At 41.7% G+C, this 14,601-nt stretch overlaps 1 protein-coding gene across 20 annotated transcripts in view, besides 1 other annotated feature; it reads right to left on the bottom strand.

Moving 5' to 3' along the window:
- S100PBP (S100P binding protein) overlaps window positions 1–14,601 on the bottom strand; it is a 42,318-nt gene that overhangs the window by 3,881 nt on the left and 23,836 nt on the right. For 19 of the 20 annotated variants that reach the window (NR_135107.1, NR_135106.1, XM_011541962.3 and 16 more), the window contains one exon: window positions 1,833–1,920. Coding sequence is in view for 15 of the 20 variants with exons in the window: in XM_011541962.3 (XP_011540264.1) it covers window positions 1,833–1,920 (88 nt within the window). In the remaining 5 variants the exon portion in view is untranslated. Of the gene's footprint in view, window positions 1–1,832; window positions 1,921–7,276; window positions 7,328–14,601 lie in introns of those variants that run through there. The other variant, XM_047428037.1, reaches the window with a different exon arrangement.
- Window positions 813–982: an enhancer, noted in NCBI's record as "experimental_6868 CRE fragment used in MPRA reporter constructs". NCBI's record gives its function as "activates a minimal promoter by MPRAs in K562 erythroleukemia cells, with activity observed for both the introgressed and non-introgressed 1:33319703 variant alleles {active_cell/tissue: K562}" and the evidence as "EXISTENCE:reporter gene assay evidence [ECO:0000049][PMID:34662402]".

Raw genomic sequence — 14,601 nt, 5'->3', positions numbered from 1 at the left:
AAGTCCTTGTATAGGTAAGGAAATTGATTGAGCCTCAGGTTAATAATTTACCCAAGGTCATAGAGTAGAGTAAGCAGAACTGGATTTGAATTCACATCTGACTCCAGAATTTATCTATTAACAATTACACTACACTGCCTTTCCTTCTGAGAAATGCTATGATTTTGACAACTACAGAGGGAATATGACTGTAAAGGCCCTGAAGCAAGAGGAAGAGTATTAGGAGATGAGGTCGGTGAGCATAGGCCAAAGCATATAGGCCTTTGTAGGGGATTACGAGAATGGGAAGATGTGAGATGGGAAGCCACTGGGAAATATTGAGCAAATGTGATTTATGCTTTAAAAGAATCTCTTTCTTTGGCTGCTGAGTTGTGAACAGTGCACTGGCAAGGGCAGAAGCAGGGAGGCCATTTAGGAGACTTGCAACAATCCAGGTCAAATGATGAGAAATAGTTAGGCTTTGGATATACAGCTGACCCTCCATATCCATGGGTTCTACATCCATGGATTTAACCAACCATGGGTCAAAAATATTCAAAGAAGAAAAATGAATGGTTCCATCTGTATCGAACATGTATAGACATTTTTCCTTGTCATTATTTCCTAAACAATACAGTATAACAACTATTTGCATAGCATTTATACTGTATTAGTTATCATAAGTAATCTAGAGATGATTTAAAGTATATGGAAGGATGTGCACAGGTTATGCAAACACTATGGCATTTTATATAAGGAACGTGAGCATCTGTGGATTTTGGTATCCAGAGAGGGTCCTGGAACTAATCCCTCATGAATACCAAGGACAACTGTATATGCAGAACCTATGGGATTTGCTGATAGACTGAATATGGGGTGAGAGAGAAAAAAGTAAAAGATGATTCCAAGGTTTTTGAGTATCTGAATCAAAGTAACTGAATAAATTTGTACAGCCACACTGCATCAAGAATCCAGAAAACTGTAATACTAAATTTGAGTCTTAAAAAAAAAAAATTCCAGAAGATTTCAGAATTAGGAAGGTCCTTTGACACCAAGTTGCAAAGCTAGTATTAGAACTCAGGTTTCCTGAATTTCAGTCCAGTTTTTGTTTTGTCTGTTTGTTTTTTGAGACAGGGTCTCGCCCTGTTGCCCAGGCTGGAGTGCAGTGGCACAATCATTGCTCATCACAGCCTCAAGCTCCTGGGCTTCAAGCAATCCTTTTCTCTCAGGCACTCTCAGGGACTACAGACACACACCACCATGCCCAGTTAAGTTTTTGTATTTTTTGTAGCGACGGGGTCTCACATTGGCCAGGCTGGTCTCGAACTCCTGGGCTCAAGCAATCCTCCTGCCTTGGCCTCCCAAAGTGCTGGAATTACAGGCGTGAGCTACTGTGCTCAGCCTCAGTCCAGTTCTTATTCCATTATACTGCATCACTTTTTCCCCCTGCCTCTTGAATTAAACAATTCCAACCCCTACTCCCCACTACATTCCTCCTGCAGCCAAATTTCACGCGCCCCCCCCCCACCGCCTTTTCTTTTTTTTTTTTTAGACGGAGTCTTGCTCTGCCGCCCAGGCTTGAGTACAGTGGCACCATCTTGGCTCACTGCAACCTTCGCCACCAGATTCAAGCAACTGTCCTGCCTCAGCCTCCTGAGGCTGGGACTACAGATGCTTGCCACCACACCCAGCTAATTTTTGTATTTTTGGTAGATATGGGGTTTCACCATGTTAGCCAGGATGGTCTCAAACGACCCACCCACCTTGGCCACCCAAAGTGCTGGGATTACAGGTGTGAGCCACCGCGCCCAGCCATTCTACCCTTTTCCATCTTCTTCTAATCACCCACTCACCGCGTGGTGAGGTCCGAAGGATGCTGCCATTTTGAGTGCTGCATATGATGAACTTGATCCATCAAGGCACAAAGCTCCCCCGAGATACCTGTGATACAGAGGGATCAGTGGTTAGGAACAGCTGAGTGAACTACGTCAGCCAACGTCAAAGTATGTGTTTTCAGGGAAAGAGAAAACAGGCACTGTTCTCAACAATATATACTTACAATTATCACAAGCAGTGAGCACAGAAACTATAAACCAGAATGGGGAGATTACTCTTGGAGGGTGAAGGTGAAGCAATAATAGCAGCCACCATTCATTCATTCAACACTTAGCTCCTACAATATACAGGGAACTTTACTTGTCCCTAGGAATATGGCAGTGAACAAGACACTACCTCAATGAAGTTTATACAGGAGACAGATGATTCCAAAGTGGTGTGATAAATGCAGTGATAGAAATACAGACTGCTATAGAGACTGGGGGGGTGGGGGTTAGGGAAAGCCCCCTCCAGGGGGAGTAACTATAGCAGGGATCTAAAGGATGTATAAAATTAGTGAGGTAAAGAGGGGTAGGAGGTTGGATGCCAAAAGATAACAGTTAATACAAAGCCCCAGAGACAAAAGACAGCAAATACATTCAAGAAACAAGAGGAGTTTAGAACAGATGGAGGTGGGCGCTCTTTGCTAACAAGAAAAATTGCTAGATGCAATTTCTCAAACACCTGGGATCCTAGCAATGTACTAGACACTTTACATATTATCTTACTTAATTCTAAAAAAAATCTTACATGGAGATAGATGTTATTAATATCATTTCAAAGATGGGAAACTATGGGAGGTGAACTTGCCTGAAATACTTTTTTTTTTTTTGAGACAGAGTCTTGCTCTGTCGTCCAGGCTAGAGTGCAATGGCATGATTTCGGTTCACTGCAACCTCTGCCTCTTGGGTTCAAGTGATTCCCCTGCCTCAGCCTCCTGGGTAGCTGGGACTACAGGCGCCTATCACCATGCCAGGCTAATTTTTATATTTTTAGTAGAGATGGGGTTTCATCATGTTGGCGAGGCTGGACTCCAATTCCTGACCTCAAATGATCCTCCCAAAGTGCTAGGATTACAGGTGTGAGCCACCATGCATGGCCCTGAAATTCTTGATGACCCAGGATTCAACTAGCTCCTGTGTGACTCCATGTCCTTGCCACTATGCAATAATGCTAATTTTGCACTCAACGATTGAGACTTAGGCTAAAACTCAATAGAAGCAGAAATAAAACACTAGTTAGGAAATAATTTCCCTAGACCAGTGGTTCGCAAATTTTAACATACATTATAATCAACTGGAGGTATTGTAAAACAGATTGCTGGGCCTAGCCTCCAGACTTTCTGATTATACATAATCAGAAAACTACAGATCTGGGTAGGGCCTGAGAATTTGCATTTCAAGCAAATTCCCAAGTGATGCTAATGCTGGTGGTCTAAGAAACACTTTTTTTTTCTTTTTTTTGTGGGTAGTGGGGTGGGAGATGGAGTCTCACTCTGTCACCCAGGCTGGAGTGCAGTGGTGTGATCTCGGCTCACCGCAACCTCCTCCTCCCGGGTTCAAGTGATTCTCCTGCCTCAGCCTCCTAAGTAGCTGGGATTACAGGCGCCTGCCACCATGCCTGGCTAATTTTTGTATTTTTAGTAGAGACAGGGTTTCACCATGTTGGCCAGGCTGTTCTTGAACTCCTGACCTCAAGTGATCCACCCACCTTGCTCTCTCAAAGTGCTGGGATTACAGGCGTGAGTTACTATGCCCAGCTGAGAAGCACACTTTGAAAATCAAAGCCCTAGACAGTGGAGACTTTTCAGCTCGTTTACATGTTTTTCATTACCTTATCTACTGTGCTTTCGGGAATCAAAAGCAGTCTCAGTAGGCTACAGACTCATATTTTCAAGTTCTAGTAAAAGTAATGTCACTTTTAGGATAAATGTAATTTATTTGAAGCCTCAAAAAGTAGAGCTTTGTAGAGAAAGTATACTGTATACTTTGGAGTTAGGCAGAGTTGAGTTAAAATTCCAATCCATCAATTAGCTCTGTGACCCTGGGCAAATTATTTCACTTCTTCAGGGCTCACTACTCATCTATGAAAAGCAGATAATACAATTTAGCTTGAAGCTGAGTTTTAGGAATATTGAACGTAAAAGACCTAGCACATTGCTATGGCACACAGCGTGTGTGCAGTGAGTGGTAGCTATTATGATGTTAGCACCTCAGGTCTATGTTAGCTTGCAAAGACTCTGCAAATCCTGTGAAATTTTAAGGAAAAACGTTTATTAAATGGATCCATCCACACATAAACTATGACATTTTATGGCACTCAAATATTTTTCTAACCATAACACTTTTTAGGAAAAATTTATAGATTTCATTAAAAGTTTCTCTACTGTTAAAAAAGCACGACCAAATGAAACATAATTGACAAAATGAAAAATATATTTGAAACATACTTGGCAAAAGTTTAATGTCCTTTATCTACAGTCTCTTTATTTTTTAAAAAAGGTCAAGGGCATGAATAGACAACTTGCAAAATTATTACAAGTGATCAATAAACATGATAAAAACAATGTTCAATCTCATTCATGGAAAGAAAAGGCATTACTGTCACTCCTTGAGAAGGAAAAATAAATCAGAAATGAGTTTCCTCATGAAGGGAAGTAACTCTTGATTAGAAAATTCCTTACCTGCTGGATTTGTAAAGCTAAAATCAAAGGTCTCAATTCAAATTGCCTTTCCAATACCCCACTTTCACCTCGCTAGCACTCCACTCCCTGTGGTCACCCAAAAAGGACATTTCAGTGGGAGGCAGGGGAGGGGAGAATCAGCTTTATAAAAATTTCAAGATACATTTTTCCTACCAAAGCTTCACAAAGGAGGGCTAGCAATATATGGAAATTCTGTGTCCATCAAAATGGAACCACAAGATTATCTATAGAACATGTCCTTCAGCTCACTCATTTCTTATCACCTGCATTTTAGAAAATTAATCTGGCAATGGAAACTAAAGATAATAAATCTAAAAACATATCTATTCACATTAAATGATGAGAAGAATAGCCAGTTAGCCAAAGGGGCCTAATATTCAAATATTTAACTTCTAGGAATCAAATCCAGCAGCAGCAATTTATATAACATTATATATCAAGCCTGTTTAAATAAATAAATAAAGGCACTGTCCTATGTGCTAGTTTATATATATCAACTCATTTATTCTTTACAACAATCCTATAAGGTATTTTCCCCGCTTTACAGACAAAAGTATATAAAACTGTAAAGAAACCGAGGCACAGAAAAGTTAACTAATTTGCCCAAAGTCACATGTCTAATGACAAAGCCAGAATTCCAACAATATAAAACTATCATAGGATTGACTTTCCTTAAAAAATTTTCTGGGAGCAACATTTCATAGTTGAGATTAGAAAGTAAAAATCATATAGCCATATGTCTCTTGTAAACAATGGCTCAATAATTAGATCTCAGCTCATGTACCAAAAAATTTTAATTTTCCTTAGCACTAATAACTAACTTATTGTTAGACTAGCCTAACTCTTATTATGAATAAGACTTAATGATCTAGAGATAATGGGAGCTAACATTTATCAAGCACTTCTTACGTGCTACGTACTTTGCTAACTGCTTTGCATGTATCCTACAATTTAATTCTAACAATCACAGATGGCAAACTCTATAACCTCCATTTTATTCACAAGTAAACTGAAGCTTAGAAAAAAATACTTTCCCAGCACTTTGGGAGGCCGAGGCAGGCGGATGGCTTGAGCCCAGGAGTTCAAGACCAGCCTGGGCAACATGGTGAAACCCCGTCTCTACAAAAAGTACCCGGGTGTGGTAGTACACACCTGTAGTCCCATCGACTCCAGGGGGCTGAGGTGGGAGGATCACCTGAGCCCATGAGGTGGAGGCTGCAGTGAGCCATGATCATACCACTGCACTCCAACCTGAGTGACAGAGCAAGACACTGTCTCCAAAAAAAAAAGAAAAAAAAAGAAAGAAAAGATACTCATCTATCATCTAGTAAATCAGGAAAGCCAGGATTCAAACCCAGGTGGGGCTAATAATCCAAAAACCTCATTTTAGCTTATAGTTTGAACCTCATCTTCCTCCAAATTTAGAGATGCTAACAAGAATGGGAACATTTGAATTTTCTCTTCTCTTCATAGTCTCTAACAGATGGGCTTTCTTGGACCAACAATCAGTACCATGGGTTTATTTTAAGTTGTGGCAAAAAGGTGGTAAAGACTGTCCTTTGTTTTGTGACTAAGAATGAAATAAAGGAGGGAAAAACCCCCAATATTTCAGGAATGACGTCAACAATTCATCTAAATCTTAATCTATAAATATGAAGGTGACTGGTTTTGGGGAAACATCCAGTTTAATAACTGTTCTTAGTAAGTTTAAAGTGAATCAATTTTTATATCATAATGGAGGAGGACGGATAATGCTGAGTACCTGCTATGCCAATTCTGACAGGTTTTATAGGACATAATACTTTTTACCACCCACATGACCCTAACTCAATCAAGTGTGGCACATGACCAAAGAACAGAGACTCTCTCAGCTGGCTAATGACATAATGACCTAGAAGGCTGCCTGGTACCAGCAGGTCATTAAGTAAACCAATCAGATACTCTTCTTTGAAATGTCAATGTGAGCTTTAGTAATGAGAACAAGAGAGAACAGTACACATGCAGGGCTCTAGGAAAAACAGTTACTTGAGATAGCTAAATAGCAGCAAAAGTACTGGTCACAGAAGCAGATTAGATTAGGGAAAATCCCAATAGGGAACAGAGGCACTCATTTCTTTTTTCTTTATTTTTTTTTGAGACGGAGTTTCGCTCTTTTGCCCAGGCTGGAGTGCAGTGACTCGATATTGGCTCACTGCAAACTCTGCCTTCCGGTTTCAAGCAATTCTCCTGCCTCAGCCTCCCGAGTAGCTGGGATTACAGGTGCCCGCCACCATACTCGGCTAATTTTTGTATTTTTAGTAGAGATGGGGTTTCACCATCTTGGCGAGGCTGGTCTCGAACTCCTGACTTCATGATCCACCCACCTTGGCCTCCCAAAGTGCTGGGATTACAGGTGTGAGCTGCAGCACCTAGTTAGAGGCACACATTTCTGACGGAGCGTGTAGTTCGGCTCTACGGTTAATTCTTTTCACTACGAGACCTGGTGAAAAGTCTCATCTAATCATCTTTTCCTGTAAATCCTTAAACTCAGTTACTTAAAGGCTATCATAATATCTCTATTCCATGCAATGTAAAGTACTTAATACCAGGGAGGGAATGAAGAGAGAAGGAAAGAAAAAATGTGCTACAGGGGACATGGGCTACTGCTTTTATAAATAGATTAATAAAATATAAATGAAAAGAAAAAATAAGTAGAAGGCAAGAATGCAAATGTGTCACCTCTAGGTCAACAAAACTGCGATGATCTAGTAGAAATCTTGACTGATTTTCCTTGCAGGCAAGGGAAAAAGTAGAAGAAACAGGAGTTATTATGTAATTCACTTATGAAGTGATACAGGGGATACTGAATGATATATGAATGTCCTCAACAGTACTGGGAAATTCAGAATCAGAATTTATATAACCATTGCTGTTTATGATCTTCAATAAAAATCAAAGCAGATATTTCCACTTGTAGCTAAGATGAATGGGGGACTTAACCTCTCACTGTAAGCTACTAGAAACTAGGCAAAATTATGAAACAAGTGCTTTCAGACTACTGAAAATTGTGATCCCCGAGGAAAGAGAAACAACTGAGGTGAGTCTTGAAACTTCTTATAAGTCTATAATTTTTCAAAATAAAAAGTTTTTTAAATGAAGGCAAAATAAACAGGTTCTAAATAAAAGCAGAGAGACTTCATCAGTAGATGTGCACTACAACAAACATTACAAGTTGTTCATTAGGAAAAAGGAAAATAATATCACATCGAAACTTGGATCTATACAAAATAATCAAAAGCACTGGAAATGTAAGTATGTGAGTGCATATAAAAGGCTATTTTTCCTATTTAGATGATGTCTTTAAAAGATAATTTACTGTTACGGCCAGGCACGGTGGCTCATGCCTGTAATCCCAGCACTTTGGGAGGCCAAGGTGGGCGGATCACCTGAGGTTGGGAGTTCGAGACCAGCCTGACCAACATGGAGAAACCCCGTCTCTACTAAAAATACAAAATTAGCCAGGTGTGGTAGCACATGCCTGTAATCCTAGCTACTAGGGAGGCTGAGGCAGGAGAATCGCTTGAACCTGGAGGCGGAGGTTGCGGTGAGCTGAGATCGCACCACTGCACTACAGCCTGGGCGACAAGAGTGAAACTCCGTCTCAAAAAAAAAAAAAAGAAAGATAATTTACTGTTTAAAGTAAAAATAACATGCCTGTAATCCCAACACTTTGAAGGATGAGGTGGGAGGCTTGCTTGAGGCCAGGAGGTCAAGACTACAGTGAGCTATAATCATGTTACTGCACTCTAGCCTAGGCAACAGAGTGAGATCCCATCTCCATAATAATAATAATAAATTTAATAAGATAATAAAAATACAACAAAGAGGTATAGGCAGTAAGTATGGAGATAAAATGGAATACTAAAAAATACTACAAAAATTAAATGAGTCAGGGAAAGATGGAAGTGGAAACAAAAAACAAATAGAAAACAAGTAACACGATGGCAGATTTAAATCCAGCCATATGGGATTGTACATTAAATGTAAATGGATTAATGCTCCAATTAAAGACTGAGATTGTGAGACTGGAAAAAAAAAAAAAAAGCAAGACCCAGCTACCAATTATATGCTCTCTATAAGACATTTACTTTAAACATAAAAGTAAATTAAGGAGGGCAGGCGTGGTGGCTCATGCCTGTAATCCCAGCACTTTGGGAGGCCGAGGCAGGCAGATCATGAGGTCAGGAGTTCAAGACCAGCCTGGCCAACACAGTGAAACCCCATCTCTACTAAAAAACTACAAAATAAGCCGGGTGTAGTGGCATGCACCTGTAGTCCCAGCTACTCAGGAGGCTGAGGCAGGAGAATTGCTTGAACCCAGGAGGTGGGGGTTGCAGTAAGCCAAGACCACACTATTGCACTCCAGCCTGGGTGATAGAGTGAGACTCCATCTCAAAAAAAAATAAAAAAATAAATTAATTAAGGCAAGGCCCAGTGGCTCACACCTGTAATCCTAGCACTTTGGGAGGCCGAGGTGGATAGATCACTTGAGCCCAGGAGTTTGAGACCAGCGTGGGCAACATGGCAAAACCCCATCTCTACAAAAAATACAAAAAATTAGCCAGGCTTGGCGGCACACACCTGTAGTCCCAGCTACTTGGGAGGCTGAGGTAGGAAGATCACGAGCCCGGGAGGTTGATGCTACAGTGAACCATGATTGTACCACTGCACTCAGGCTGGGTGACAGAGCAAGGCTTTATCTTAAAAAAAAAAAAAAAGAAAATGAAAACATATCAAAATGTGTGGGATGCAGCTAGCAGTGCCTAAAGGGGAGCCTATGGCTTAAAATGCTTAGAGAAAATAGAAAGTTCTCAAGATCAATGATCTGATCTTCCACATTAAAAAGCTAGAAAACAAGGCCAGGCATGGTGACTCATGCCTGTAATTGTGGCACTTTGGGAGGCCAAGAGTTCGAGACTAGCCTGGGTAACAGTGAGATACCATCTCTATTTAACTTTTTTTTTTTGAGACAGGGTCTCACTCCGTCACCTAGGCTGGAGTGCCGTGACACGACATTGGTTCACTCAGCCTCCTGGGTTCAAGGGTTCCTCCCACCTCAGCCTCCCAAGTAGCTGGGACTACAAGTATGTGCCACCACAACACTCGGCTACTGTCTCTATTTTTTAAAAAAGAAAGGCCAGGAGATCGAGACCATCCTGGCTAACACAGCTAACGTGGTGAAACCCCGTCTCTACTAAAAATACAAAAAATTAGCCGGGTGAGGTGGCGGGCGCCTGTAGTCCCAGCTACTCAGGAGGCTGACGCAGGAGAATGGCGTGAACCTGGGGAGCGGAGCCTGCAGTGAGCCAAGATCGCGCCACTGCACTCCAGCCTGGGCAACAGCGAGACTCCACCTCAAAAATAAATTAAATAAATAAATAAATAAATAATAAAAATACAAAAAAATTAGCCGGGCATGGTGGGGGGTGCCTGTAGTCCCAGCTACTCGGGAGGCTGAGGCAGGAGAATGGCGTGAACCCGGGAGGCACAGCTTGCAGTGAGCCGAGATCACGCCACTGCACTCCAGCCTGGGCAACAGAGCGAGAGTCCATCTCAAAAAAAGATATATATATATAGATATATAGAGATATATATCTCTCTATAGATCTATACAGAGATATATATCTCTATCTATAGATATCTATATATATCTCTATCTCGGAATAGAAATCAGAAAACAGGAAGGGCATGGTGGCTCATGCTCATAATCCCATTACTTTGGGAGGCCAAAGCTGGAGACCATCTCTACAAAAAAATTTAAAAATTAGCTAGGCATAGTGGCACGTGCCTGTAGCTACTCTGGAGGCCGAGGTAAGAGTATTACTTGAGCTAAGGAGGTAGAGGCTGCAGTAAGCTGTGATGGCCCCACTGCACTCTAGCCTGGGGGACAGAACCAGACCCCATCTCATAAAAATTAGTAACAAAACAGGGTTTGCTCTGTAACCTAGGCTAGGCACAAGTGATCCTCCCACATTGGCCTCCCAAAGCACTGGGATTACAGGCATGAGCCACCGTGCCCAGTTCCAAATGTTTTTCTAAAATCAGTAACAGGTTCGGGCACAATGGCTCACACCTGTAACCCCAACACTTTGGGAGGCAGAGGCAGGCAGATACTTGAGGCCAGAAATTCGAGACCAGCCTGGCCAATATAGCAAAACCCCACCTCTGCTAAAAATACAAAAAATTGGCTGGGCACAGTGGCTCACACCTGTAATCCCAGCAATTGCGGAGGCCGAAGTGGGCGGATCACCTAAGGTCAGGAGTTCAAGACCAGCCTGGCCAACATGGTGAAACCCTGTCTCTACTAAAAATACAAAAAAATTAGCCAGGCATGGTGGCAGGCGCCTGTAGTCCCAGCTACTCGGGAGGCTGAGGCAGGAGAATCACTTGAACCTGGAAGGCGGAGACTGCAGTGAGCTGAGATCGAGCCACTGCACTCCAGTTTGGGTGACACAGCGAGACTCCATCTCAAAAAAAGAAAAAAAAAGTCAACAAGGGGATGGGAAAAGATCTCAGCCGGGCATGGTGGCTCACGCCTGTAATCCCACCACTTTGGGAGGCCAAGACGGGCAGATCATGAGGTCAGGAGATCGAGACCATCCTGGCTAACATGGTGAAACCCCGTCTTTACTAAAAATACAAAAAATTAGGCCATGTGCGGTGGCTCACACCTGTAATCCCAGCACTTTGAGAGGCCAAGGTGGTCGGATCACTTGAGGTCGGGAGTTCGAGACCAGCCTGACCAATATGGAGAAACCCTGTCTCTACTAAAAGTACAAAATTAGCCAGATACAGTGGCACATGCCTGTAATCCCAGCTATTCAGGAGGCTGAAGGAGAATCGCTTGAACATGGAAGGCGGAGGTTTTCGTGAGCCGAGATTGTGCCATCGCACTCCAGCCTGGCAAGAAGAGTGAAACTTCATCTCAAAAAAAAAAAAATTAGCCGGGTGTGGTGGCTCATGCCTGTAGTCCCAGCTACTCAGGAGGCTGAGGTTGCAGTGAGCTGAGATCACGCCACTGCACTCCAGTCTGGGCAACAGAGCGAGATTCTTGTCTCAACAACAACAACAACAACAACAACAAACAAAAAGAAAAGATCTCATTTGTACTTAACTGGAGGTTCTAGGCAGCACCAGAAAAGAAAATAAAAGGCATCCAAGTCAGAAAGAAACAAGTAAAAATTTCTTTATTTGCTGACAATAAGATAACCTACAGGGAAAACCTGATGAAATCTATTAAAAAGTTACTAAAACTAATAAAAGAATTTAGGAAGGTTATAGAATGTAAGACCAAGACACAAAAATCAATTACATTTCTATATAATAGCAATGAACAGATACTGAAATTTTAAAAACTAAATCATTTTACAAAAGCATCACAATATGAAACACTCCGGGATAAATTGGATAAAAGATGTGCAAGACTGTACAAAAGCTACAAAACATTTATGAAGGAAATTAGAGAAGACTTTAATCAAAACACTCAATATTAAAATGTTAATTCTCAGTCAGGCGCGGGGGCTCACACCCGTAATCTCAGCACTTTGGGAGGCTGAGGAGGGCTGATCACTTGAAGTCAAGAGCTCGAGAACAGCCTGGCCAACTTGGTGAAACCCTGTCTGTATTAAAAATAAAAAAATTAAGCTGAGTGTAGTGGCAGGCATTTGTAATCCCAGCTACTTGGGAGACTGAGGCAGGAGAATTGCTTGAATCTCGGAGGCAGAGGTTGCAGTGAGCTGAGATCGCACCACCGCACGACAGCCTAGGCAACAGAGTGAGACTCCATCTCAAAAAAATAAAATAAAATGTTAATTCTCTCTCAGTTTTATTTATTTATATAGACTCAATACAATCCCAATGGAAATCCCACCAAGCCTTAAGAAATTGATACGCTAATTCTAAAATTTATATGGAAATGCAAAGAATCTACAAAAGCCAACACAACTGAAAAATAAGAACACTAGTGGAACACATTAGTCTTTTTTTTCCTGGAAACCTGATTTTTCTAGAGACAAATGATTTTTGACAAAGGTACAAAGGCAATTCAATGCAGAATGGACAGTCTTTTCAATAAATGGTAAAGAAGCAATTGAATATCCATGTGCCAAGAAAATAAGCCTTACATTCCCACGTGTGTGTGTGTGTGTGTGTGTGTGTGTGTGTGTATATATATATATATACATATATATATATATATGTTTTTTTTTTTTTTTTTTTTTTTGAGACAGTCTTACACTCTGTCACCCAGGCTGGAGTGCAGTGGTGCATCAATGCAACCTCCCTCTTCTGGGCTTAAGCAATCCTCCTGCCTTAGCCTTCTGAGTAGCAAGGACTACAGGTGTATGTCACCATGCCCGGCTAACCTTTTAATTTTTTTTTGGTAGAGGCAAGGTTTCACCACATTGCCCAGGCTGGTCTCAAACTCTTGGGCTCAAGCAATCTTCCCACCTGAGCCTCCCAAAGTGCTGGGATTACAGGCTTTAATCCATATCTTGCACTACATACAGAATAAATTTTAAAAGGATCATAGATCTAAATGTAATCCCTAAAGCTATAAAACCTCTAGAAAAAAACATAGGAGAAAATTTTTGTGGCCTTTTCTTTTAAGCAAAGATTTCTTAGATACCACATGAAAGCATAATCCGTAATTTTTTTTTTTTTTTTTTTTTTTTGAGACAGAGTTTTGCTCTTGTTGCCCAGGCTGGAGTGCAATGGTGCTATCTCGGCCCACAGCAATCTTTACTTTCCGGGTTCAAGCAATTCTCCTGCCTCAGCCTCCCGAGTAGCTAGGATTACAGGCATGCGCCACTACGCCCAGCTAATTTTGTATTTTTAGTAGAGATGGGCTTTCTCCATGTTGGTCAGGCTGGTCTCAAACTCCCGACCTCAGGTGATCTGCCTGCCTTGGCCTCCCAAAGTGCCGGGATTACAGGTGTGAGCCACTGCTTCCCACCCATAAAATTTTTAAAAACCTGATTAAACTTACTTCATCTACTATAACCAGTGACTACCAAGAAAAATAAATAAATAAATAAAAATAAACAAACTTACTTCATCAAAACTAAGAATTATGTTCTTTAGAAGACACTTATGGGAATGAAAAGACAAGGCATATACTGGGAGAAAATATTTCCAAATTACTTATCTGGCAAAGAAACTTGCATTTGGAACATGTATTTAAAGAACTCTCGAAACTCAGTAATAAGAAAATAATCCAATTTTTTTTATTTTTTTTTTTTTTGAGATGGAATCTTGCTCTGTCGCCCAGGCTGAAGTGCAGTGGCACAATCTCGGTTCACTGCAAGCTCCGTCTCCCGGGTTCACGCCATTCTCCTGCCTCAGCCTCCTGAGTAGCTGGGACTACAGGCACCCGCCACCATGCCCAGCTACTTTTTTTGTATTTTTAGTAGAGACGGGGTTTCACCGTGTTAGCCAGGACGGCCTCAATCTCCTGATCTCGTGATCCGCCCACCTCGGCCTCCCAAAGTGCTGGGATTACAGGCTTGAGCCACCGCGCCTGGCCGAAAATAATCCAATTTTTTAAATGAGCAAAAAATACTTCACCAAAGAAGATATACAGGTGGCAAATAAGCACATGAAAAGATGCTCAACATTATTACTCATTAGGAAAATGCAAATGAAAACTACAATGAGATATCACTACACATATATTAGAAAGTCTAAAATTATAAAAACTGACCACTTTACACCCATTAGGATGACTCCCATTGAAAAATAGAAAATAGGTCGGGCGTGGTGGCTCACACCTGTAATCCCAGCACTTTGGGAGGCCGAGGCAGGCGGATCACCTGAGGTCAGGAGTTCGAAACCAGCCTGGCCAACATGGCAAAACCCTGTCTCTACTAAAAATACAAAAATTAGCCAGGCGTGGTGGCGGGTGCCTGTAATCCCAGCTACTTGGGAGACTGAGGCAGGGAGAATTGCTTGAACCCAGGAGGGGGAGGTTGTAGCGAGCCAAGATCATGCCATTGCATTCCAGCTTG

This window comes from Homo sapiens, chromosome 1 (genome assembly GCF_000001405.40).
Source record: "Homo sapiens chromosome 1, GRCh38.p14 Primary Assembly".
Taxonomy (NCBI): domain Eukaryota; kingdom Metazoa; phylum Chordata; class Mammalia; order Primates; family Hominidae; genus Homo; species Homo sapiens.
Note: the sequence above shows the minus strand (reverse complement) of the source record. Positions and strands in the feature narration are given on the sequence as shown.